The sequence below is a fragment of the Homo sapiens genome, chromosome 2 (genome assembly GCF_000001405.40).
Source record: "Homo sapiens chromosome 2, GRCh38.p14 Primary Assembly".
NCBI lineage: Eukaryota > Metazoa > Chordata > Mammalia > Primates > Hominidae > Homo > Homo sapiens.
In genome coordinates, this window is record NC_000002.12 from 157461925 (window position 1) to 157489618 (window position 27694).

Genomic DNA, 27694 nt, shown 5'->3' on the forward strand with positions numbered 1-27694 from the left:
TGAATGACTTTAAAACCTTTTCCAAATTGCTTGAAATCTTCTCTGACAAAAAAAAAAAATCAATATTAAAACATAATTCTAGGTAAGCAACAACAAAAAAAATAGGTCATCACTCTTCACATACGTGGAAAAATCATTCTTCAGGTACATGGAAAATGTCCAAGGGAAAACATCACTAAATGAACTACTGATTTCCTTTTTCCTGTTCTTTGAAATCAAATAAATCTAAGACAACTTTGGTGCTTAGTTGTGTGGGATGGGGTAGCAAAGGAGATAGAATATAGGCTTAATCATGGTAACTGGACTTTCATTGAAAAATAAAATACGCATATCAAACCAGTAAAAATCCATTGCATTGACTGGGCACAGTGGCTCACACCTGTAATCCCAGCACTTTGGGAGGCTGAGACAGGAGGATCACTTGCCTCCAGGAGTTCAAGACCAGCCAGGGCAACATATTGAGACCCCATCTCTACACAATATTAAAAATTAGCCAGGTGTGGCGGCTTGTGCCTTTAGTCCCAGCTACTCAGGAGGCTGAGATGGGAGGATTGCTTGAGCCCAGGGGTTGAGGCTGCAGACAGCCGTGATTATGCCACTGCACTCCAGCCCGGGTGACAGAGCGAGATCCTGCCTCAAAAAAAAAAAAAGGAAAGAATGAAGAAAATAGAGGAGCATAAGGGGAACAAAGAGGAAAACAAGAGGACAAAGAAGAAGAGAAAGAAGAAAAAGTAGCAGGAGGGGAGAAGGTTGGAGGCCCTTCCTGAGTCATTCAAACACTTCCTCAGAGGAAGAGAGAGGATCCAATTTGACTCCCAAATTACTTTGAACTCTGTACTTAATGTCTTTCTGCCCAGCTGTCCCTTCTAATCACCTTTCTATCCACACTGAAAATACTGAAGTTTATCTAGGATAAACACTGAAGTTTTTCTAGGATCACAAAATCAAAAAATATGATTATAGTTAAAAACATCTTTGGGACAATCTACTTCCTCTGCTTAATTTTATAGACAAGGAAACTTATCTAGTAACAGAGTATTCAGTTTGCTGAAGAACACGTGGAAAATTATCCTAAATAAGTTAGTAAACGTAAATTACTGGTTGGCAATTTATTCCAAACAAAATTTTGTTTTGTTTATTCTAAAAGAAAATTACTCTTGGTGGTGCAGGCGAGTCCTTTAGATTAGTTTAATAGTAAATGTAGTTTATATCTGAATATTTAAAGAACACTTTTCACTTGCCCTCAATGTTCAACCCCAAGCATATATGAAAACACACACGTAGGAAAACTAAGAATTTCGTTTAGTTAAAATTAAGAATTTCCTTTAGTTAAAAGCAAATAATGTCCTTTAGTCAAAAGTTTAGTTTCCTTTCGTTAAAACGTCTCTGGACTGTCCCTTCCAGATCCTTAAATTTCAGAACTGAAAGAGCTGGAGTGGAGCTGGTTGGTGAAAAGCAAGCTTCCTCCACTGAGTTTACTTCGTGTAGGAGAAACTTAAATGTGGGAAATAATTTTAGGGTAAAGAAAGCCTCAGTTTTAGCCTTTCCTAGGTTGTAGAGATCTGGAAGATAATTCTGAGAAAGAAACCAAGAAGAAGCTAAGACCTCAGTTACAGGGTCTGGAATGGTCAGGTCAGCACGAGGACTGGCCTGTGAAGTCTTCTGATGATCTAAAGGAGTGCAGGACATGGCAGACCTGGCACTCTTCAGACCCTCAGAGAAGAACCAACTGGTTATTTCTCTTCAAGCAATCACTTAAGGTGGCACTTTCCTGAAAGGAAAGACCATTCATTATTGCTATGGATTGTCAAGGGAATTTGTAGATAGTCTTCTTCTGGGCCAGACACGGTGGCTCATGCCTGTAATCCCAGCACTTTGGGAGGCCGGGGCAGGCCGATCACGAGGTCAAGACCAGCCTGGCCAACATGGCAAAACCCTGTCTCTACTAAAAATACAAAATTTAGCTGGGCGTGGTGGTGCATGCCTGTAATCCCAGCTACTTGGGAGGCTGAGGCAGAAGAATTGCTTCAACCCGGGAGGCGGAGGCTGCAGTGAGCCAAGATCGCACCACTGCACTCCAGCCTGGGTGACAGAGCAAGATTCCATTTTGTGGGGCGGGCGGAGGGGAAGATAGTCTTCTTCTTAAGTTTTTAGTTTTTCAGTGTTAAGCAAGACCTCTGGGGAAGAGGGTTAGATGAAATCCAGTGACCACACGTAAGAACTGAGCGGTATCATTGAGCATCCATCTGGCCCTAAAAAAGCAGAGAAAGTATCCAGAATAGATTAAAATATATATCTCATTCTCTCTCTCTTTTTTTTTAAAGGGGGAGGCAAAATGGAAATTGCCCTAGCCTGAATCCTAGCATTTGCAGTAGAGAACATGCTGGAAGACACTATCAAAAATCAGTTTGTGGGGCCACAGTTCCTGCCAGAGTAACCTAATTGTCTGACTCACTTTTAATCTCAGTGGATGTGGTGAGAATGACTGATGTTGCTTAACAGCATTTAGTCTTGGTGTTAAATATGGGAAATTTACAAAAAGATTCTTATCTACGGAGGAGTGGAAAACATCACCACACAGAGATGAAAGGGCCCAAGAGAGGAGAAGGTGGGAAATGTCCCCTTCCTGCCACACGTTTCATCTGTGCATGTAGCTCCGACTGGCTTCAAAGGAAAATCTGCACCCAAGCACCCAAAAGAAGTAGCTAAGTGTGTGGTGGGACTGAACAGCAGGCCCATTACAATAGCATTCCAAAAAAAAATTTAAAAGCCAAGTATATGTATGACCTGAAGGTACTCATGGAAAAATGACAAACTATTCAAAACTGAAAAGAGGCTTACTAAAATATTGTTACCAGGTGCAAAGAGAATCATTTCTCAACATTATAGTTTTTAATACAAGAGAAGAAAGATTTGGAGCAACAAATCACAGAAAGAGCTTTTCTTAAAAAACAACGTTGTATGACTTTAATATGCAATTTTCTGTGCCCCTAATTCCCAGACTAGCTTACACATCAGATGGATCTTGTTAGTATAGTTGAAGATGGAAGGAAACATTGCTGGTTCCTCTTCTCATAAACGTACCATGTGATAGAGCTCACTTCTAAAAAGAGATGAGGAAAATAAAGGCATAAGATATATATACCATGTAACAAAACTGCACTTGTACCCCTTACATTTATACAAGTTTTTATAAAGGCAAATGTAAGTATGCTTTCTTTAAAAAACTAAAAAGATACATATACCAAAATATTTAAAGTCTTCCCATGACAGCATATTGAGTAAACAACCATTGGCACTACTATATATTTTTGCAGCTATAAGAGTCATTAGTTGTTATGTGCTAACATATAAAAGGAATCAAATTTAATATATCCAATTTGGAGGAAACTGTCCTATTGTCCTTTGTCAATTATAGGTTTTAAACATCCTTTATGAAATCACGTTTTGATGTCTTGATTTAGGAAATATGATCAGAGTAACTTGACATCAAATTAATCATACCTACTTTCTTATCATATTTGCTTTACACATTTTATAGACACAAAAACTTGAGTTGATGGTCTAGATTAAACTCAACCATTTCCTGGAGAGAATCTGCGAATATTCTGTTCAAATCAACAGCATTTAGCAAAGGCCTACAACATGTCTGGCTCTAAGTGTGGGAGAACGTGATGCTGAAGTGAGCAAAGCCTAGCTTCTGCCCTGCACGAGCCTTGAGTCTAGCAAAATAACTCAACATGCCCACCTCTACAGAGTACAAGACAGAAAACAGCACAAAGCCATTCAAAGGACACAACAGAGAAATTCATCTCCTCTTCAGAAGGGAGCCGAGGTTGCCTTTGAAGGTGAAAGACAAATTTAGAGAATCAGCACAATTTCAAGTCAGAAATGGTACCAGGGAAGAACCAGCATTTCACATGTGAATGAGAAGGAGAGTCATCAAGAGGAGAAAACTGGGAGAGCTATCAGAGATTGGCGACAAAGCTGGTATGGCAGGAATGTGGGCAGCTGCGTAAGACAGAACTACCGAGCACCTCATTGGTGTAATGAATACACTGAACTTGATTCAGTTATCAAAAAGGAATCGCCAATCTTTCTGAGTAAAGGCATACGTTACTAAATGGGGATTTTAGGAAAATTGATAAGACAGTGGCTTATAAGATAATTGGAAGGAAGAAAGCTGAAGACCAGTTCAATTAGTGCCACCATCTTAAAAATAGTCAATTAAAGCTTGTACTAGAGGCCAGGCAGGATGGCTTATGCTTGTAATCCCAGCACTTTGAGGGGCAAGGCCGGTGCATCATTTGAGGTGAGGAGTCGGAGACCAGCCTGACCAACATGGCGAAACCCCGACTCTACTAAAAATACAAAAATTAGCCGGGTGTGGTGGTACATGCCTGTAATCCCAGCTACTTCGGAGGCTGAGTCAGGAGAATCCCTTGAACCTGGGAGGCAGAAGTTGCAGTGAGCCGAGATTGTGCTATTGTACTCCAGCCTGGGAGACAGAGGGAAACTGTCTAAAAAAAAAAAAAGTTTGTGCTAGAGCAGTGTCCGTGGATAAGAAATGGACAGAGTAGAAGAAAGAAACACTGCAGAAGGATAAGCAAGTTGTGAATCCTAGGCATAAGGAGCAATGGGAGAGGGACTTGCAACTCTGAACCATCCTGGGGACCAGGGAGGATGATGCTATCACAAGCAGTGATGGCAGGGAACCTAAGAATTTTGCTCTGTTATGTGACCCAATTTCATTACTACCACTACAGCCAAGCTCTTCCAAACAGTGTTCAACTTCTGAGTCCCAAAAATTAACTCATGAAAACCTTGCCACATTGGGAAATCTAATTTTTTCTTTATTTCACACTACAGAAGCCATTGGCAATGGAAGGTTAATAAATAACATTTCATAGCTTTCCAAAAACAATCATTCTGAAAGCGAAGCGAAATACTCATCTTGAGCTCAACTAGAAAATGGAAGGTCTGACCATCTCTTCAGACCAATGTCCCCTCAGGGAATCTGGCCTGAACATCAAAAGGCTGTCATGAAATTCGTTTCAATTGCTTCATCTTCCTCTATCGGGCAACCCCCCCGTGGTTACCATGAAGTCATACTCTACCACTGAATCTTATGAGTAGGAGAAGTGCTTGGATGGCAATGGTGAGGCAGCTGGAGGTGGGCCTTTAAGGATCTGTTCAAAGGAATGGTTTAGAATAGTCTAAGCTATAAAAATAATCATAAACTATATTAAAAGGAAAATGGAGTTAGTCAATGCTATGGATACCCACTTGAGTGAAGAAAATAGTGTAGGTAGCATGGCAGACATCTCCTATAAGTAGCCGGAAATATTTAGCTAACAATATTGGCCTTGGCCCTCTGATAATTGTTTTTCAAATATACTTAAATATGAGCAGAAGAAGGTCTTCTTCAATAGTGTCTCTGATTCTAAGCCCTTGTAAACACATTATTACCTATTGTTTACTCTAACACTATTGGAGCCAAACTCGGAAGGAGAGTAGAACCCTTGGAGCTTGAATGGCCAAATGAAGACCCCCATGAGGGAAGACCTACAAGGGAATGCATGTGTGTGATGCTGGGAATTGATGTATTGCCAGGGGCCAGGTTGGGCTGATTCCAGGCTATCAGTTAAAGTGATGTGATGCCAGGAGAGAACAAGTGTATCAATATCCAGGGAATGGAGGAGGCTGAGAGCTGACTTGGAAACTGAGTGTGACAGTAAGAAGGACATTACAGAAGAGAATACAGAGGAATAAGAAAGACAAAATAAGACATAACCGGATGAGTTCCAAAACAAATCCATGAGTATGACCTTCCACCCTGTCTCCACATCTCTCATATGCACAGCCTACTTTGCTATGCTTGCTCAGATGTGTTCTTCAACAGCAGACCTCAGCTGGTGTTACAGGCCTAGTTTCAACGTCAGAGGGCCAACATCAATGATACCAGTTGTTCAGGCCCTGCTCTGATGGGCGTCTGATGGGAACCCAGCCACCATACTCTGAGAAAGCCAAGCAGCTCCATGGAAAGACCACGTGAAGGTGTTCTAGCCGCAGGGTCACCTGTGGACTTAACTGAAAGCCAGCATCAAACACCACACATGTGAGCAACTGAGCCTTCATATGATTCCAGCCCTTAATCCCTGCACCACCCCAGCTGATCTTGAGTGTAGCAAAGATGAGGTTTTCCAGCAAAGACCTGTTCAAACTGCAGGTCTGTGGGCAAAATAAATGTTAATTTCAGCCACTAAGTGTTGGGATCATTTGTTACTTAACAGCAGATAACCAGAATGGTACACATAGTATGACTTCAGAATTTACAGTGAATTCAGGGAGACAAGCATGTTCACAGATGCGTCAACCATGTCAAGGTACGACACATGTACCTTAATTGATCCATACATAAAAATGAATGTGTATGCATATGCATATCTAGTTTAGGCATAGAAAATTTCTAATACATAAAATTAAAAATAGTTACCTCTGTGGAGTAGTCCTGGGTTGTTAGGGAAGGAAGACTTCTTTTTATTTGTCTCTTTGTATGTTCTAATCCTGGTTTTATACACGTACTTACTTCATAACTTCAAAAACAGTTTAAAGTTTCAAAATAATGGTAAAATAAGAGAAAAAAGGCTAAACAAGTCCTATAGGCACCCCATGAGTACTACACGTTAGATACCCCTTGAGAACAGTAGGCAACCAAGTTGTTGGGAAAAGCTGCATTTTATCTCTGTGTCTCAGTTTCACATCTATGTAAAAAACAGTGCCAACCTCATAGGATTTTTGTGGAAATTAAAGTTCTGTAGGACTACCTGACACAATAGTAAGCACTCAATAAAAATTAATAAAAATATCTAAGAAACCTGGAGCTGCTGAGCACTGGCATGGCATATGAACACAGGGCCCCAAGTGGCAAAATTTGACTGTTACTTTAAGGAGAAATACCTTTTGTTCTCCTTATATCAAAGAATAAAAAGGAGCCAGCATTTTAGATACAATGGCAAGGGAAGGTGTAATTTGGCTCTGTAACAATGTGATAACTTCTGCAAATGCCACATTGACTTACATTTTCCAAAACACAAAAGACCATGAAATTAAAACCTCCATCCCACTTCCCCATTCTGCTTCTCCTTCTTCAGGGTGTTCACTGGGCGTGACAAGTTGTCTGTGTATTACAGATGACTGTCATCCATAGGTGGCCGAGGAAATTGTGTTTACGATAGTTTGACATCTAATGTTTAGCTTCTCCCTGTATTTTAAGAAACTAGACATTATCTCAATTATGTAAAAGAATTACCAATTTTTTCACTTGTTTTCCTGTGTAGGTTTCGCATTCAAGTTATTTAGGGTGGGCTAAGTCACTTAAAAGATCGAGTGGGGTGATTCAGCCTTCTTCTCCCCCAAAGTGTTCCATGTTCTAAAAAGTTTGCAAAAACATGATCTAGTTCTAGAAGTATGAAGGGTTGGAGTAGTCTAAGGGATAGGGAGAAGTTGAAATTGCCCATGAGATTACGTGACAGAAGACCATAACCGTAAGTATTTTCATAATTGACAAGGAGTTATTTTAAGTTTTTTAGATTTCAGGGTAATGGTGTCATCATTCTGCTTGCAAAGTCAAATGAGTAATGATCAGTTCCTCTCTGATTCAGGGACTTCTGTTGCTGCTTCCTGTTTGGTTTAACTCACCCAAGTATCTTAGAAACATGAAATATTGTTTCAGCTTGGTAAGGATGTCTGGGCTTGATTTTTTTTTTTCTTACGAACCAGGTGTTTTACCCCATGCAAATTTCTGGCATTTCAGGAAAAAATTTTTGTTTTCTTTTCTTCAACTTGAGGATGATTTCACCTACTCAAAATATAAGAAAACTCTTTACCTCCACAATTTTTTAGAAGGAAAAACCTTCCAAAAAATAGAGAAATGCTGTGTGGTCAGGAATACTTTGTTGAATTTTATTAATTTAGCCACTTTAAATCCCTTTTGGCATAAACTCAGTGAGATTAAATAAACCAAGAGAGTGACTAAATAACAAAACCTCTCTGATTCCATCACTGTGCAGTGAATATGAACAAATGTGTATGTGAATTTTAATGAATATGAAGAGTGGGCTATACAAATTACATACTTGAAGTTCTTAGTGATACGTTAAATTGAATTGTATAAGGGCATGAAGAGTTCCTAATTAACTCTATATGAAGTTCTTGAAAGAGGAAAAAAATCACCTACAAGAATTCTGTGACAACCGTTATCCAGGACTTTTAAACGCTGGTTTAAATCACCAGCAAACAAGCTGTACATAGGATTTACATAGTCAACTCATGTTGATAAAACATAGTCAGCTCCAGGTCTTCCAGACCATTTCCCCCTCATTTTGGAAAAGGAAACCATCTTCAGATAACAAGCCAAGGACTCTTGTTGATATCTTGTAAGCACCCTTTTATCACAAGTAATTAGCACACAGACTGCTTCAACAGAAAAGGCACTGAGGTTCACATTACTTCAAAACAACAAGAAATACAGCCCCATTAGCCCATAGTCTGGGGCTAACCACAGCTTCTATTCTTAGCCTCCCAGGGTCCATCTCTTACTCCACCACTGAAACCATCTCTTCAATGCTCTGATGAGAAACAACAGGACACCTACTCTAACTTCATTCCCTCTAGGTAAGGAATTCCACACTTTCTTACCTATCTGCCAAAGCACACACACCAGTTCACAGCCTCTTACCTAGGGTAGAGGGTAAAAATTTAAACTTCCATTTTTATGCATTATTTCCTGCTCATTTGTATGGGCCATGTTTGCTCGTCAATTTAACGTAGTGTCTACAGCCTGGGATGCAGTGGAGAACTTCAGAGGTCTCTAACTTTCCTTCAATAATGGTATCTGCCCACACAATGGAAGCTTATTAGTACATGAAAACCCTGCTTATTCAGGATTTAAACATCTGGAAAGCTAGAATAAGCAATTCTAATTTTGCAGCAAAGAGAAAAAACATAAGTAAAATTGTTTTGTTATAAATTTTTTTTCAAATCATAAAGCTTCTACAGCATACCAAAGGGTCGTTGTATTGGCAGGGTAAAAAAAGGGGTTGCTGATGTTAATTTTGACTTGATAATCCAAGCATTTCTCTCCCTGTCCCGAAGAAGGGTGGTTTCAACTAAAGAATTTCAGATCATTTTTTGCCAAGAATTAACACCCCTAAGCCCATAATGACTGACATCCAGCAGTCAGTACAAACAAAAATGAAACAAAACAGAAAGTCAGCACCTAGTGACTCTTCTGCCCTTGGATGGAGTGGTCAGGCCTCTCTGCTGCTTGCTGACTCTGGAGTCTGACACCCTTGCTTCCCTCCAATGGGCCTGTTTGCCCTCAAGAAGACCCTTTTCTTGCCTTGAAACCTGCAATAACCGTCAAAGCCACAGGGCCCATCTGGCTGTTCCAGTCAAATTGCTGCCAGTGGTCCCCGTAACAGGAAGCATGGCGGCACAGGTTTCCTGAATCAAGGGTACTTGTGCTCAGTGGAATTCTGGTGTTAACAATGGTATATTAAGTTTTATATTTGTTCCGTATGCTGAGAATACTATTCAGTAAACTGAAGTTTCTTAAACTCTCTGAACCTCAGTCACCTAAACCACAAAATGAAGATAATAATATTTATTTTTGCAGGGTTGTTCTGATGATGTGAAAAAAAATGCCTAGGACATTGGCTACTATATAGTCACTCAAAAAACAAAACCCTGGCTGGGCACAGTGGCTCACACCTGTAATTCCAGCACTTTGGGAGGCCGAGGCCAGTGGATCACGAGGTCAAGAGTTTGAGAACAGCCTGGCCAATATAGTGAAACCCCGTCTCTACTAAAAATACAAAAAGTAGACAGCCATGGTGGTGTGCACCTGTATTCCCACCTACTTGGGAGGCTGAGGTGGGAGAATGGCTTGAACCCAGAAGGTGGAGGTTGCAATGAGCCAAGATCGCACCACTGCACCCCAACCTAGGTGACAGAGTGAGACTCCATCTCAAAAAAAAAAAAAAGAAAAAAAAAACACAACAAAAAACAAAAAACAAACAAAACAAAACCCTTAGTAGTAGTCGTTGTAATAGTAGTAGTAGTTAGAAGTAGCAGTAACATTAATAAAGATATCTGGAATGATATTAGAACAATGATGAGAAGGGGGAAACAAGCTGAGACCCAGCATATCACTGACCAATCAAGCTCTGAAGAACAATTGTGGCAAGCATGAGAATGCTAAAGTTCAAGAAGTTTGAAGTCCAGCACAGTGGCTCACACTTGTAATCCCAGCACTTTGGGAGGCCAAGGTGGGAAGATCACTTGAGCCCAGGAGTTTGAGACCAGCCTGGGCAACATGGCAAAACCCCATCTCTACAAAAACTAAAAAAAAAAAAAAAAATTAGCTGGGCATGGTGGCGGGTGCCTGTGGTCTCAGCTACACAGGAGGCTGAGGAGGGAGGATCGCTTGAGCCTGGGAGGTCAAGGCTGCAGGGAGCCAAGTTTGCACTATTGCACTACAGCATGGGTGACAGAGTGAGACCCTAACTCAAAATTTAAAATATCAAAAAAAAAAAATTTGAGTCAGTGAAGTCTGCTTCCCAGCAGAGCAGAGATGAATCTACAGAAGGCATCCTGGAGAAATGGCAGCATCACTTCAGCCTTCTCCACCCACATCCTCTCTAATGAGGCTATTCACTAGTGGGGTCCATTCTCAGAGGTCACTCCAGTGGGTATCAAACCAACCTCCAGAGAAGTTAGACCTGTGGTCAGACCCCAGAAGAGTTCTTCAATCCAGGGAAACATCTTCAAGATTTTTCTTCATGAAAAAAAATCAGTTTTAATACATTTTTCTTTTTAATGTGTGTTAAATAACCCTGAGAATACACCTCAAAAATTTCAGTGATGCCATCATCACCAACAGCAAACAGAGATTAAAGATTTGTATGTCCCCATTACTTGCCATAGCCTGTCCAAGCTTGGTTTGGATGATTGACTGCTTTGTCACCCTGGAACTCCTGGAATCCCAGTGTATCCTTTGGGGGAGACCTGGAAGCATGAGACCCACAGCTTTAAGCCTTTCTTTTTTGGGTTCTGGATTACTTCTCTGGGAAACTTTCCTTCATCACTCCTTCTAAAGGGTAATCTGAGTGTCCTTCCTGTGGACTGGGTTCCATTACAGCACAGAGGATTTTTCTTAACACTGCATATTTTAATTAGCTCTCTTGTCTGCATTTCCACTAGACCGTAAGCTCTCTCATGGTACAGGCTCTTTCCTCTTTTCCACTGTGCATGTCTAGCACCTAGCAGAGTGCCTGGCAATGGTTGGTGCTCTCTCTATATTTGCCATATGAATGGATGAGTGCTAGAGCTAGAGGTAATGGTGGCAGAGTACATACATCACAGGTTAATGGCAACAGATTCCAAGAGGGAACAGAGGGGTTTATGGGACATGAAGTCAAGTCCCAGGCTAATATAGCTCCATGCCTCTAAACAAACTTAGTGACTCCAAAGGTATTTGAGCCTACTTGTAGACATTCCAGTTTTAAATTTGCATGTTACAATTCTGGTTGTGACTTTATACTTACAAAGCAGCAGCCAAAGTTATAGCTATACTACCGGTAGGTATGTACCACAGAGAGATGAACTGGCCCAAGGGACAAGATGTTCCTGTAAACAGGCATTTGCATTTGAAAATGTGGCATTTGGGGTACAGTACTTGGTGGCAGCCAAAACTGCCTTCAGAGAGAAAGTATAGATGGAAGAAGAAAGTGAGAGTGGAGGAGTGTGAATACATATGCATCATCTCCTTGGCTCAGCAGAGCACAGCAGCAAAATAATGCATATGCCATGATGATTAATGCCCTGGGACTCAGTCATGCTTTGCAGATCCAACAACCAGCATCTCATACCTTGGGCTGATGGAGAACCCAATGCAATCTTACTAAGACTAAATGCAAAGAAATGTTCTAGAGGAAAGAAATGTTGTAGTGACAATTCAATGGAAAACACAGTTTTAAGTATATTTTATTTCTGTAAAAGTTTATTGGGCATAAGCAATTATGTTTATGTTTTAACAAAAATATACTGCTATTTCCTAAAAAGAAATTCAGGAAAACAACATTTTTTTCCTCTCAGCCTACATAAGTGATCACTTACTGCTGGAATATGAGATTAGGTAGTGGTAGACAGGCTATAGCAAGAGAAGACACGATCAAGGCCCCAGGGTAATTTGAAGAGGGAGGGAGAAACTGAAGAAATGAACATGAGTGTGTGGACCAGGCATCCATTATGCTGAGGACAAGTATGTAAAGGCCTGAGTTCAGGAGGCTTTTTTCAGTATCAAGAAATCCAAGTGAGAACTAAAAAATAGGGACATAAATTCTCCTAACCATAGAGCAGATTCTACAGGCAAGAGATACAAATATCTACCTTCCTGGGAAATAAAGTGTTTGAAGAAAATAATGAGACCTTCAAACTCCTCTAAGGCATTTTAGAAAGTCTAACTGCAATAAAGATAAGAAAGTTGGAAACTTCCACATATTTAGACTATAAAAATCAAAGTAATAGCTAATAGACAAATTACATCTACTTTTGCTGCCCCCCTCCCCCAAAATTAAAATATTGCATAAATTGAAAGGTCATGGACTTAAACAAAATAAAGAGAAAATAGAGACTGATTTTGAAGATTTATTATTTTGAAAACATCTTAACCAAAATATTTTAGAGGTTGAAAATATATGTGGCATCTATAAAAATGTAAATTTGGGCAGAGAACTGGTTTGTTTTAGAAAAACAAAACTCACTTTCATCACAAGACAGAGAAGCTCAGGTCTTTCCTTGCAGCCGTTCTATACACTTCAGTGCTTTGAAGGAGCTGGCCATGAGCACGAATTACTCCAGTATTTCTATTTGCTCTAAACTCCATTCCAACTCTGCCTTCACTTCAGATTTGTAGTCATATCCGTGAGCCTCTCACCATTTCTAATGATCTGCCCTTTTTTATTTGTCTCGGTATTTCCTTTTGTATTTGTTTCTTTTCCTTATTTAAATACATTTTTCCCATGATTATCTCTCTGTTGCAGATAATTTGTAAAGTAGAGAGGATCCCACTACCACCAAAAATCATCATGAACATTTGTCTTAACCTCCCTAGTCCTTTTTTATTATTGATTTTAACCAGATGAGATAATTATGCATAAATAACTATGTATATTCTCTTATTACACTTAAATAGTGTATCTTAAAACACTATCTTGTTACACTTAAACACTAACACTACCCGCTATAATTTTCTTTTATCACTAATAACTAATCACAACATGATTTTAATAGTGATATGACAGTCCATACTATAGCAGAACCATAATTTTCTAGTTTGATAGTAATCTAATTTTATTAAATATTGTTATTTCTGATAGTTCACTGTTAGAAATAATAATGTGATCAAATTTGAACATAAATCTTTGTCCATATAACTATTAGTATAAATCCTTACATTAAAAAATAGTGGTTTAAACCCCATTGAAAAGTAGGCAAAGGATATGAACAGACACTTCTCAAAAGAAGCGATATATGTGGCCAACAAGGATATGAAAAAAAGCTTAATATCACTGATCACTGGAAAAATGCAAATCAAAACCATGATGAGGTACCATCTCGCACCAGTCAGAATGGCTGTTGTTAAAAATTCAAAAAAATAACAGATGCTGGCCAGTTTGCAGAGAAAAGAGAACACTAATACACTGTTGGTGGGAGTGTAAATTAGTTCAACCATTGTGGAAAGCAGTATGGCAATTCCTCAAAGAGCTAAAAGCAGAACCACCATTCCACCCGGCAATCCCATTACTAGGTATATACTCAGATGACTATAAATCATTCTACCATAAAGACATATGTATGCGAATGTTCATTGCAGCACTATTAATGATAGCAAAGACACGGAATCAGGCTAAACGCCCATCAAACGACATCAATGACAGACTAGATAAAGGCAATGTGGTCCATATACACCATGGAATACTGTGCAACCATGAAAAAAGAATAAGATCACGTCTTTCGTGGGAACATGAATGGAGCTAGAGGCTATTATCCTTAGCAAACTAATGCAGGAACAGAAAACCAAAAACTGCATGTTCTCATTTTTAAATGATAAGAACTTATGAACGCAAAGAAGGAAACGACAGACACTTGGGTCTACTTGAGGGTGGAGACGGGGAGGAGGGAGAGGAGTACACAAGATAACTATTGAGTACTGGGCTTAAAACCTGGGTGATGAAATAATATGTACAACAAACCCCCATGACACGTGTTTATCTATGTAAATGAACCTTCGTATGTACCCTCAGAACTAAAAGTTAAAAAAATAGGGGTCTGAAAAATATAACTATTTTTAAGTCTCTTGATGGATATTGCTAAATTATTGGCAGAAAGATTGTACATGAAGTTACTGATCTTGCAGAACTCCCAACAGCTTTAGTTATTACCAGTTAAAAGTCTTTGATAAAATGTGCTCTGTGGAAAATGCTTACTAATTTTGCTTTATTTTCCATTTTTAAAAATTCGCCCTTCATATTTTACAAAAAAAAGAGTATTTTTCATACTTTGCTCATATTTTAAGCACTTCCGCTTTCTCTTTTGTTATTTTCTTCAAATGTATATGAAAATCACAGTTTCTTACATGTGTTGGTTATTTGTCTTCATTTTGTTTATGATATACAGAAATATTTCATTTCATTCATCAGTCTTTCCTCTGTGATTTTCTTAATTGCTTTTATGTTTAGAAAATCATTTTCTATCCAGAGATAAGATAAATACTCATCTATATTTCTTCCAAGTTATTTTGGTTTAACTCTTTATATTTAACTCTTTAACCCACTTGGAATAAAATGGGTAATTATCTTTAAGGGGGGATTGCCTAAACTGGACTTTTCAATCCAAATAACCAATTTCTCCAAATAGCAACCCTTGTTGGGTTGGATAATTTTATAATGAAACTATACCCTAGTTTCTACCTCCAATCTATTTATTTTTGTTACATAAATAGTTCTAATTTTTAACCAGTTTCATGTTGTTTTTATTATTGTGGCTTTTTGCAACCCAGTAGAGTGATTAAGAACCCTACTTTGAAGCAAGGATGCTTTTACTCAGATCTCAACTCTACCCCTGACTAGCTATCTCACAGTAGGCCAGTTATGGCCTCTCTGTGACTCAGTTTCTTCATCTGTGGAATTGGCATACCAATATTAACTTTCCTCATGAGGTTGCAATGAAGATTAAATGAGTTAGTTGTGCAAAATCTCTTGTGTTACAGAGAAAAGTCTGAGAAACCAAGGCACAGAATGAATGTATGTAGCTAAATGTGAAAGAATAACATTGTAGGCAAATATCAGTTTGCTGAAGACATTTCTTACAGCTATGCCATGTCCAACTTGCCAGCTCCTATTTCTCATAACCTGGTTTCATGACTAACTAAAGCTGTGAACACCAAAAACAGTATTCTAAGAAAACAGAATCTCAACTTTCAGAGACTGCTGTTTTTCTAGGTAATAAAGAGTCTCCATAGAGTTGCATCATTCAGAACAATAACAGTGACACATAGTTCTCTGCAACATTGGAAGTAGATTCACTATCAAGGGTAAGCCTTCCAGGAAGAGGCAGTCTCTTCTCATCCACCTTTGCTGCTCCCTAGTAGCTATGAAATAGCTGCTCCATATCAGTAGCTATGAAAATAAAATACAGAGAGAAGGTAGAAGGCTCAACTGCATCTATGATGCACTAGACATTTTCTGTCCAAGGGATGGAGTCATAAAACAAAACATGTACAGGGCTTAATACCTGGGTGATGAAACAATATGTACAAGACCCTGTGACATGTGTTTACCTATGTGACAAATCTTTACACGTACCCCAAACCTCAAATAAAAGTTAAAAAAATTTATTCTGTCCCACGCAAAGGTGAGGAAATCTGTCATCTATTTAGAAAGCCAATTTCTGTGCTTTGGTTACCTGTGACTCTAATATTTTTATTATCAATTAATCTTCAATATATTTTATTTTTAGAGCAGTTGGAGGTTCATAACAAAATTAAGTGGAAAGTGCAGAGAGTTCTCATATATCCCCTGCCTCCACATTTGCACAGCCTCCCCCACTATCAGCATTAGGCACCAGAGTGAGACATTTGTTACAGCCCCTCTATGACTCATTTTCCTTACCTGTGAAATGGGCATACCAATATTACTTCCTTCATGATACTGATATGAAGATATTTAATGAACCTATATAGCCAATCATTTTTACCCAAATACAAGCAATCACTTTTACCCAAATGTAACCCATGTTTACATTAGGTTCACTCATGGTGTTGTATATTCTATGGGTTTTGACAAATGTATAATGATACATCCAGCATTGTGATATCATACAGAATAGTTTCATTGCCCTAAGTATCCTGTGTGCTCCCCCCTTTTTTTTTTTTTTTTTTTTTTTTTTGAGATGGAGTCTTGCTCTGTCGCCCGAACTGGAGTGCAGTGGCACGATCTGGGCTCACTGCAAGCTCCACCTCCTGGGTTCACGCCATTCTTCTGCCTCAGCCTCCCAGACTACAGGAGCCCACCACCACGCCTGGCTAATTTTTTGTATTTTTAGTAGAGATGTGGTTTCACCATGTTAGCCAGAATGGTCTCGATCTCCTGACCTCGTGATCTGCCCGCGTCGGCCTCCCAAAGTGCTGGGACTACAGGAGTGAGCCACCACGCCCGGCCTTGTGCTCCACTTATTTATTGCTTCCTCCCACCTAATCCCTGATCTTTTTACTGTCTCTACAGTTTGTTTTCACCAGAATGTCGTATAATGGGAATCAAACAGTATGTAACATTTCCACGTTGGCTTTTCTCACTTACTAATATACATTTAAAGTTCTTCCATGTCTTTTCGTGACTTGATAGCTCATTTCTTTTTAATATTGAATAATATTCCATCATATAAATGTACCACAGTCTCTTTATCTGTTTACCTATTGAAGGACGTCTTAGTTGCTTCTAAGTTTTGGCAATTATGAAAAAAGCTGCTATAAACATCCATGTATAGGTTTTTGTGTGGGCTTAAATTTTCAACTTATTCGGGAGAATACCAAGCAGACCAATTCCTGGATTCTATGGTATGAGTATGTTTAGTTTTACATTAAACTGCAAAGCTGTCTTCCAAAGCGGCTGTACCATTTTGCATTTCCACCAACAATGAATGAGGGTTCCTGTTGCTCTACATTCTCATCAGCATTTGGTGTTGTCAGTGTTTTGGATTTTTGCCACTCCCATAGGCCTATAGTAGTATCCTGTCACTTTAATTTACATTTCCTGGTAGGTAGATCAAGAATAGAAGACTCTACCAATCGCTCCCCTCCCAAACCCCAAGGACTCCAATTTAACAACTATCTACCCACAAAAAAACCATCTTCATAAGAACCCATAATCAGGTGAGCACTCGTAGTACTTGGTTTTAACTTTGTATTGCTGAAAGGGGCACTGAAAAAGTAGAAAAAAAGACATAACCCTTCCCCTCCACCTCCCCACCCCAGCAGCAGTGGTATGGTACAGAAAGCTTCTCCATGAACTGGGGGAGGGAGAGTGCAGCAATTGTGAGGCATTAAACTCAGTGCTGTTGTTATAACAGAAAGGAAAACCAGTCCAAACTTAGCTGATCACCCACCCAAGGAAGGAGCATCAGCTAAGTTCTCATCAATCCCAGTGGTAAGAACTTGAGTTCCCACAAGCCTCACCACCATGGTCTAAAGTGCTCTGGGGCTCTAAATAAACTCGAAAGGCATTCTAGGTCACAAGGACTACAATTCCTCGGTGAGTCCTAGGGCTAAACTGGGCTCAGAGACAGTTGACTGGAGGGACATGTGACCTACTGAGACACTGCAGCACCTAAGGCAGGGCTGCTATTAACACTTCCCTAACGCCAGGCTGCATAGCTCACAGCTCCACAAGAGACCTTTTCCTTCCACTTGAGGAGAGGAGAGGAAAGAGTGAGGATGAATTTGTCTTGCATCTTAGATACCAGCTCAGCCACAGCGGGATAGGACACCAATTGGAGTCATGAGGCCCCCTTCGCAGGCCCTAGATCCTAGATGACATTTCCAGACATACCCTGGGCCAGAAGGGAACCCATTGCTTTGAAAGAAAGGACGCTTTCCTGGCAGCATTCATCACCTGCTAAGTGAAGAGCCCTTAGGTCCTGAATAACCAGCAGCAATATGCAGGTACTACATTGAGGGTCTTGGGGGAGACTCTGAAACTTGCTGGCTTTGGGTGACTCAGCACATTCCCAGCCATGATGGCTATGGGTGAGACTTCTTCTGCTTGAAAAAAGTGAAAGGAAAAGCAAAGGGGACTTTGTCATGCACCTTGGCCACAGGGTTGTAAAGCACAAAGCAGGCCTCTTGGGGTCCTCAATTCCAGGACTTGGCTCTTGGATGGCATTTCTGGACCTGCCCTGGGCCTGAAGGGAGCACGCTGCCCTAAAGGGTGAGTCCCAACCCAGGCAGCATTCACCACAAGCTGACTGAAGAGACTTTGTACCTTAAGGGAACATTGGTGGTAGTCTGGTAGTACTCCCTGTAGGCCTGTGGTGACGGTGGCCAAGAGGTGAGGCTCCTCTGCCTTTGAAAAGGTGAGAGAAGAGTGAGATGGACTGTATCTTGTAGTTTGAATGCCAGCTCAGCTGCAGTATAATAGACTTCTAAGGGTTTTGACTCTAATCCCTGGCTGCTGGGTGGCACCTCTGGGCCTTCCTGGAGCCTGGGGGAACTTGCTGCCCTGAAGGAAAGGACACGGGCCTGGCTGTCTTTGCCACTTGCTGATTGCAGAGAACATAGGCAGTAGCCAGGGAGTGGTTGCAACAGGCCTTGGGTGAAATCCAGTACTGTGCTGGCTTCAGGTCTGACTGAGAACAGTCATAGTGGTGATTGCCACAAGGGAGCTTGTATCACTCCACCCCCAGCTTTGGGTGGCTCAGAATAGAAAGAGAGGCTCCATTTGTTTAAGAGAAACTAAGGGAAGAGAAAAAGAGTCCCTGTCTGATAATACAAAAAATTTTCCCAGATCTTGTCTAAGACCATCAAGGCAGTACCTCTACAAGTATGCAATAACCACAGTGTTACTGAGCTTGAGGTACCTCTTGAAGCAGATACAGCTTAGATCACAACATCCAAGTCCTATCAAATATCTGGAAAGCCTTCCCAAGAAGGACCAGTACAAACACCAGACTGCAAAGACTACGATAAATACCCAGACACAGATGAATATCTACAAATATTGAGACGACCCAGGAAAACATGACCTCATTAAATGAACCTAATAAGGCACCAGGGACCAGTCTTGGAGAAACAGAGATATGTGACCTTTCAGACAGAAAATTTAAAATAGCTATTTTGAGGAAACTCAAAGAAATTCAAGAGAACACAGAAAAGGAATTCAGAATTCTATCAGATAAATTTAACAAAGAGGTTGAAATAATTTAAAAGAATCAAACAGAAAATCCGGAACTGAAAAATGCAATTGGCATACAAAAAATGCATCAGTCTTTTAATAACAGAATTGGCCAAGCAGAAGAAAGAATTAGTGAACTTGAAGACATGCTGTTTGTAAATACACAGTGAAAGGAGACAAAAGAAAAAAGAATGAAAAACAATGAAGCATGCCTACAAGATCTAGAAAATAGCCTTAAAAGGGCAAATCTAAGAGTTACTGGCCTTAAAGAGGAGGTAGAGAAAGACAGAGGTAGAAAATTCATTCAAAGGGATAACAGAGAATTTCCCAAACCTAGAGGAAGATATGAATATCCAAATCCAAAAAAGATTATAGAACACCAAGCAGATTTAACCCAAAGAAGACTACCTTAGGCATTTAATAATTTGCATTTCCTAATGAGATATGATGTTGTGTATCTTTTCATATGCTTATTTGCCATCTTTCGTTCTTCTTTGGTGAAGTGTGTTCAAATCTTTTGCGCGCTTATTAATCAGGTTGTTTGTGTTCTTATTGTTGAGTTTTACAATTTCTGTGCATATTGTGGATAACAGTCCTTTATCAGATGCATCTTTTGTAATTATTGTATCCCTGTCTGTGACTTGCCTTTTCATTCTCTTGACAGCTTCTGTTGCAGATGAGAAGTTTTCAATTTTATATCAATTTTTGTTCCCCAAAGTGCACAAATGTAACAGGCTACTGAGTACAAGTTTTTCTGTTATCCCAAAATTGGCAGTTAAGGCCACAATATTAAAATAGAGAAGTTGGAGAACTGAGAACAACTGGAGCTAACCACCTTCTTTAAGGCTTACGAAGACACAACCAGGTAAAGGCTCTGCTGCTCTAAATCATCACCCCAAACTGGACCTTCTCCCTCTCCAGTCAAGTCTGAAAGGAAGACTGAGGTGGGAACAGAGAAGAAGGAAATGATTAGAGGTGTAAGGTGGCCTTGGTAGGGGTGGGAAGGGAGTAATACTTCAGTTTTCTATCTATTCCACCAAGACATGCCTCTCACCACTGAACCAACTTCGGGGCTGCCATGAGAACCACTCTTAAAGCCTGGAAGGAGTGCCTATAGGAAGAGAAGGCCAGAATTACATTTCTAGCTTTGACATCTGCACCTGCAGTGGCCTTGCCAATCAAGCCACTGTACCTACCTGAACTGAGGGGAAAAAAAAGTGACTTAGAAAAGGGAGAGAGCACAGCTCTGGGGCAACCCACATGTGTATCTCCATAGGCCATGTGAACTTGGGAGAAGTAGCTAGGTTTGTGTTATCTTGACAAATTCTACCCACAAGGATTGGCCATTGAAAGCACATCTCAGCAGCAGGAGCTGGGGAGTGTTCCATGTATGAGATATCAATGACTGTGCAGTGGTGAGGTCCCTAAGGGGCTTCTGAAAACTCCCAGATAGAGACCTCTGCCTCCCAGTCCACATTAACCAGATAAACAGTCAAAATTTTACAGAGGACAAACTTCAGCTGCACTATTAAATGTGAGAGACTTGTCCTTTCTTTTCTTTCCCAAATCACCACAAACTGTGGAACCCTAGAAGAGGGAAGGAGAGATAGTATCCTGAAGGCAGACCACACCCACGTCTTCTATTCCCGACACCTTATATCTGATCTGTGATGTTGGAGGCAATAGCTCTAAATTAGATTGAGATTGAAGCTTTTCTAACACTGAATTGTTATGGTTTTGTTTTTTTTATAGAAGCCTAACCAAAAGATCACAGGATCTGCCCAAGTAAAAGAGAAATTTGACAAAGCTTAATTGAAAAAAAAAGTTACTTTCATATATATGCCCCAGGGAAATTCAGAATATTCAGCAAACTCATTACTAAAAGTAAACAAAATAATATGATATTACCATTAGGAAGAGAAGTACTTCATTAAAGTGATCACAAGTGAGAAATTAAGGAGTAGGACACTAAACATACACTCCATATTGTATTTTTAATAATAATTAGGAGACTTCAAATCAAAGAGCAAACTATACAAGATTAATAATGATGGCACTCAGTATAGCCGATTTACAGCGCATTATAGTAGTAGTAACATGGGCTACGAATAAGAAAGACCTGGATTCAGTCAAGTATTCTGATGAATGGCCCTCAATTTGGTTTTATCTGATGTTTTGTCATGAATTCGATTGAAGCCATAAATTACTGGAAAGGCTAGCACAGAACTGTATTTTAACATAATTGAAAGTATTTTCTTCAAACAATTTTGAAATTGTATTTTTTCAACATATTATATCACACATTTTACCCCATATCAATGACACTTTTCATGGGCATTATTTTCTCATCTGAGAAGATGGAAACAATAAATAGATTAGATGGACATATATAATAGACTAGTACAATAACGTGATAGTATGGTTTAGATAATTTTTAAAATCCATGACGATGTCTAATGTCATCAAGAAATATTAATTGAGCAGGAAGAATTTGAGCTAGGCTTTGCAAGACAGGAAAATATTGCTAACTAGAGAGGTTGAAACTTTATATATTGGGCAAAGAGGCAGAGGAAGGAATATATTAGGAATAGGAACCCATAGCATGGCATAAAGATGCTATAAAGCCATCACCCAGCAGATTTTAAAATCTTTTCAAAAATATTGTATTCTATTCTGAAACATAACTATGAAGTAAGTGTCATCATCTTATTTTCACTAATAAAATTAATTGAGGCATAAATAATGACTTTTACTAGATCCCTCAGTATAAACACTACATGAAAAGTCAAATCCAGATTATTTGGATTCCTAATTTTATTGTCATTCCATTACATTTTTAAGATTCTGTAATATTAACTTGGAATAAATTGGTGTTGTAATAAAAAATTATTCCATCTAAAAAAGTCCTGATGTATTTACTACCTCTGTGACCTCTGAGAATCCACATGGGAAATGGCCATAATAATGCCTTCTAACAGGGTTACTGAAAGGATTAATGATGAAATACGACCTAGCAGATGATAGGCACTTGAAAAACAGTGGCTACTGTTGTTAGCATTTTTTTCATCATTTATTCATAATTACCACCTATTAGGGTGATTATTTACTGAAAAGATATCAGTTACATCCAGAGTCATAACAGTACTGGTAAAAATATATTTAAGTGGAAATTTTGGCTTATGGAAAAAAATCATAATTCAGGGTAAACTAAATTCCTCAAAGTAGCTAGCATTTCACAATAACTTAGGTGCCCTAGTTTATGGACTACTCTGCAGGTAAGAAAAACATAAAGTGATGGGTTTTCTCCCATGCTATATGCCTTATAACATTTTATCAGGACTGGAAGGGCACTCAGAGGGAACATTTAGGCCAAAGGAGGCTACATGACATGCTCAGAGACATCTGATCATACCTCATCTCCATTCATCCTTCGTATGCCCCATCTGTTTGTTTGCTGGCTGTTTCTATCATATCATACATTTATGTGCCACCAAATTTCATCTTTGCCATTTAAGGAAGGCACCTAAGATACCAGTATTGGTTCCTCTGCTCTTGGTACTTTATTGCAGGGGAGTACTTGGCCTCACCATCTGGTTCAATACCACCTAACATTGCACTGAATGACCAGACAAGTATTTGACTCATGACAGTCTGTTTGATTTGTGATCCCTGTATCCCCTCCCCTCTTAGACCATTATTCTCTTTATTCATTCTTCCTTCCACGCACAGCATGTAGCAAATATGTTTTTTTGTTGTTGTTTTTTGAGACAGAGTTTTGCTCTTGTTGCCCAAGCTGGAGTGCAATGGCGCTATCTCAGCTCAATGCAACCTCCACCTCCCAGGTTCAAGCGATTCTCCTGCCTCAGCCTCCCAAGTAGCTGAGATTACAGGCGCGCGCCACCACACCTGGCTAATTTTTTGTATTTTTAGTGGAAGTGAGGTTTTGCCATGTTAGCCAGGCTGGTCTCGAACTCCTGACCTCAGGTGATCTGCCTGCCTGGGCCTCCTAAAGTGCTGGGATTACAGGCGTGAGCCACCACACCCGCCCGGGGGTAGCAAATATGAACCAGTCACAGTATTTGATGCATTTCACTTTGTTCTCTTTAGAAGTTCTCATAATGGTTGTCCTGAGGAAAATCAATTAAACTATTGACTTAAATACCATTGTGGGATCAATTATGATTCCAATTAGCTGTGCCATCTGGGTTGCTCATTACCACTCTTGGAAAAAAACTTGTTAGAGTGAGAAAGTGTGTCTCCTATCCTCATGTTTATTCATCGTTAGGTCTAGAATTTACCTTTAGACACTGGCCCTGCATGCTCAAGATCCCACAGCTAGCCTCCTCTATTGTGATGCCTTGGGTCTGTCTGCCCCAAACCATTTTTCCTGGCCACAGAGGGCCTGTTACTGGCATCCCTCTTCTCTTCCCACTGCAAGAGCTAACAATTACTAATTCATTACGTGTCAGTCACTCTGCTAACCCACTTTGCATGCACGATTTCTTCAAATCCCACGAGGTAGACAATACTGTTCTCCTCTTTCAAAAAGAAAATACTTGAACCTTGGAAAGAGAAAGGTGCCTTTTCCAACGCCACAGTGTGTTCAAACACAAGTCCCTGAGACACAGGCACTGCCTCTCATCCCAGCTGCCCTGAGTCTAAGAGCCAGGTTCCTGATGTGTTCTGCGCTCATAAGCCTTTAATGAGATAAACAAGCTAGAGAAACCCCAGAAATGGTTCTTAAAATTGAGATCCTTCAACACCAGCATCCTTTACAAAATATAGGTTCCCAGGGACACACATCCCCCCATCTCATACTTACTGAATCAGAATCACAAGAAGCGAGACCCAGGAACCAGTGCTTGAATACTGTCCGGCGGGTTACGTGCTTAAAATTTGAGATCTTCTGCTCTGTGTCTTTCTTACAGGACACCTAAAGTGTACTTAACAAAGTCTTCCCAGAGACAACGCCCTGACTCCTGGTGGTCTAGCCCTAAAATGTAACTCTGATATGATCTGAATTTGACAGAATACTTTGTGAAACACTCAAAGCTCACCTTTTGGCTATTTATTTGATGAAGTTTCAGCTGCCTCTGGCTGAGCTCTGAGCCCTATGTCACAGAAAGCACATAAAAGCAACTAGTTTGCTGATCTTTTCTGTAGCAGCCACAAAAAGAGATACCCTATTCAATCAAACTGTTTGTTGATTATCTATTCTTTGCAGATAATACAGAGGTGAAAGGACAGGGTTCCTGTCCTGAGAAAGGCTAGAGTGGATACAGCTAAGAAAATAATCAATTCTCTCTCTCTCTCTCTCTGTTTTTCTCTCTGCCCCTCCCTTCCTCCCTCCCTCTCTTTCTCTTTCACACACACACACTCCCATGAGCCCACTCAACCTGTCTTCATCATTAGAATATCATGTTTGAGTTCTAGTGCTTAACCAATGTAAAATTGGCTTTTCACCATCTCCCTCCTTTCTTTTTTCTTAATAAGAACCTTCAACTTCCTAGACCAATCTCGTCTCTTTCCTTCTCCTTGTGTTGATGTCACACTCTTGTATTTATTGAACCCTTCCATTATCAAAAATAGATGTCTAAATGTCATAAACTCGACATCTGCCTTGACATAAGATATCCCCATAGCAAATCCACTGATCATATAAGAAAAAATAGGCGAAACCTAGTATCAACAAGAAGTCCAAAATACTTGGATGACGAGTCAGTCAGCTTACTCATTAAACACTTGAATAAAAAATTTCCAGCAATAATTTCCTCAATATGATATTTATTTGAATATATAACACTGCATTAAAACTTGCTAATTTCTTCCCCTCCCCAAGATCAAAAGAAATAATGAATAATGAAAATCAACCCACACATTTCAAATTCAAACTTACCATAGAGGTCTGGTTGGCAAATCTCAGTCAGTGATTCCTCCTGGTTCCCAAGCCAGAGAATAGGAGGTTTCGTCTACTCTGCTCTAAATGAATGTACAGCCTCCTGAAATGCAACAGGTCATTAACATAATGAAAAGGAAATACAGCCTCCCCCTAATTCAGACTGCTCACCTTATCTTCCCTGAAATGAGTTCTCATCCATTTATTTCAGGACATGGACAAACTGTCTAGTATCAAATACTCACAAATAGAGATTGGAAAAAAAAGAAAAATTCAGTGATGCCTATGTGATTCTCAAGCTCTGTACAAATAAAAAATTCATCTTATACTGAATCAAGTGACAAAAGAAACCATTTCTCATCTGGAGTTACTCCCAAATAAATGTTGTACTTGTGGCTTTTATGTGGACTCTAAGCTTTCAGAGTTTCAAATGCTACTTACTATAATCTAACTACAAATTCAGCTCCACCTACTTCTGTTTTCAGGTAAATAATGAATGTATTTTAGTTGGAAGGAGTTTTCCTTCTATATATTTTTTTAAAAACAAAACCTAAGCCTTGCTCTTGGTTAACTTCATGTGGTTCAACTAAAGTCAGACTTACCTGAGTTTTGTCTTTGAAGCAGGATAGACGTCACTTAGGTTGTCTATCTTCTTAACAGAATGCCATGTTGGCTTTTTTCCACGTGACATTTAATTCCAATCTCTAGAAATAATTTGTAGAGAGAGCGAATTTGCCACACATACAGCAATTAACATGAAAAACCTTCCACACACACAGAAAAGCTCATGATGTGATCTAGAAAACAAGTCACTTCCAACTTGTGGAAAACTGAAGGTGTTCTTGCCTTTAAGGCAAGATCTGCCTCCCATAGTCATTCTAGTTATTCTGAACCTGTAACTGCCTCTCCCTGTTTTATTTTGAGATATTTATCATGTGTGATCAGTTGAAAGTTAACCTGGTATAACACAAAAGAAAAAAACTCTTTTGCTTGAATTTGTTCACAAAGGACATCCATTCTTAACAGAAAACATAGCTTTTGTTTTCCAAATCACATGTGAGTTGTTTAATTATGAAGTTCCTAACAATGATGGCAATTTAAAAAATAGTAACAAATGCATTGGAAACTATTGCAGTCTTGGCTAACCATATGTGAGACAGAACTCCGTTATTTGCCATCATCAAATATAAAGAAAATAATGAGGAAAGAAATCATAGCAGTGGAAAATTGTACTCATAAAAGAAATCTGACTTGTCTTATGGGTTCCTACTAACAGAACTATGTAACATTTTGTTGCCCGTTACTAGCCAAGGTTTTGTATTATGTATATGGGCCACATAAAACTGAAAAAACAGCTGTTTCCACACATACCCCCGTTTGCCTATATGACACTTCTATCTCCCCTTCAGGATCTAGCTTGATGTGTCCTCACGGATGAGTGTGTCTGTCCAATAGCTACTTCCACGGGTGGCCAAGCATCTGCATCCCTCTAAACACCAATCCCTGTAAGAATCATTAGTATCGACCCAAGTTTCATTTCTCCTCGGTGGCCTTAAAGAAATCTTTCCGATGTCTGCTGTGTCTCTACCTGTCCTGTAGTGCTGGAGCTGGCTGGAGAGAGGCAGTAAAGGCCGTGAGGCTGCCCTGTGGGAGATATTGACCCTGCACAGAGCTGGGGGAGGGCACAGTGCTGGCAGCTGGAGGAAGAGGAGGAGGAGGAATTTGTGTGCCACTGCAAACAATACACAGTGCCAACAAAAACACCATCCCTTTTCCCAAGAAGTTCAAAGCACTTTGCAAACATTAACTTATGAGCCCACATAGTCACGAAGCAATTATTACTTTATTACACCCTTAAGATAACCACTGCAAGCAAAGTGGCTAGAAAAAAAAGAATGCATTCATTGTTTCATTATTCCTCAGCTATTTATTGAATGCCTACTATGTGCTGGGCACTGGAGGTGGAGGAGCTCCTATGGGCTCTCACACTACTCCATGCTCTTTTGCCAACCCAGTTAGGGGCCCTAAGCACTTGGCTACACTAGCTATTATGTTTATTTACACTTTATTTTTGCCCAAATTGTTTAATGGAATGTGCAATGTGCTCCATTCTTCAGAATGCCTATAATGTGCTAAGTGCTAAGCGAACACACAAAAGAAAAACTTTTAAAGTTACCTATAAATCTCATTACCACTTTAGGAACTGGGGAATAGCAATTCAAAGTGCTGTCTTTTAAGGTGCCATAAACAAGCTTTAGTGTGTGCAATCTTTGTCTCTTTCGAGTTT

At 39.7% G+C, this 27694-nt stretch overlaps 1 long non-coding RNA gene across 2 annotated transcripts, besides 5 other annotated features; it reads right to left on the reverse strand.

The window, feature by feature from the left end:
• Positions 1847-3046: an enhancer, noted in NCBI's record as "CDK7 strongly-dependent group 2 enhancer chr2:158320283-158321482 (GRCh37/hg19 assembly coordinates)". NCBI's record gives its function as "activates an origin of replication core promoter dependent on BRD2, BRD4, P300/CBP, MED14 and CDK7 cofactors, with strong dependence on CDK7, by STARR-seq in HCT116 cells {active_cell/tissue: HCT116}" and the evidence as "EXISTENCE:reporter gene assay evidence [ECO:0000049][PMID:35650434]".
• On the reverse strand, positions 2622-27037 carry LOC105373712 (uncharacterized). Of its 2 annotated transcripts, none has more exons than XR_923513.3 (4): positions 26996-27037; positions 26010-26111; positions 25408-25510; positions 2622-3103 (listed from the first exon to the last, which is right to left on the reverse strand). It is a non-coding gene; the product is annotated as an uncharacterized LOC105373712 (long non-coding RNA). The 2 variants fall into 2 exon arrangements; XR_923512.3 differs by having other exon boundaries at positions 2625-3103; positions 26779-27037.
• Positions 7217-7436: an enhancer, noted in NCBI's record as "active region_16676". NCBI's record gives its function as "activates an Ori minimal core promoter by ATAC-STARR-seq in GM12878 lymphoblastoid cells {active_cell/tissue: GM12878}" and the evidence as "EXISTENCE:reporter gene assay evidence [ECO:0000049][PMID:35858748]".
• Positions 18521-18650: an enhancer, noted in NCBI's record as "active region_16677". NCBI's record gives its function as "activates an Ori minimal core promoter by ATAC-STARR-seq in GM12878 lymphoblastoid cells {active_cell/tissue: GM12878}" and the evidence as "EXISTENCE:reporter gene assay evidence [ECO:0000049][PMID:35858748]".
• Positions 18791-18840: an enhancer, noted in NCBI's record as "active region_16678". NCBI's record gives its function as "activates an Ori minimal core promoter by ATAC-STARR-seq in GM12878 lymphoblastoid cells {active_cell/tissue: GM12878}" and the evidence as "EXISTENCE:reporter gene assay evidence [ECO:0000049][PMID:35858748]".
• Positions 19001-19060: a silencer, noted in NCBI's record as "silent region_12028". NCBI's record gives its function as "represses an Ori minimal core promoter by ATAC-STARR-seq in GM12878 lymphoblastoid cells {active_cell/tissue: GM12878}" and the evidence as "EXISTENCE:reporter gene assay evidence [ECO:0000049][PMID:35858748]".
• Positions 27038-27694: the final 657 nt, after the last annotated feature.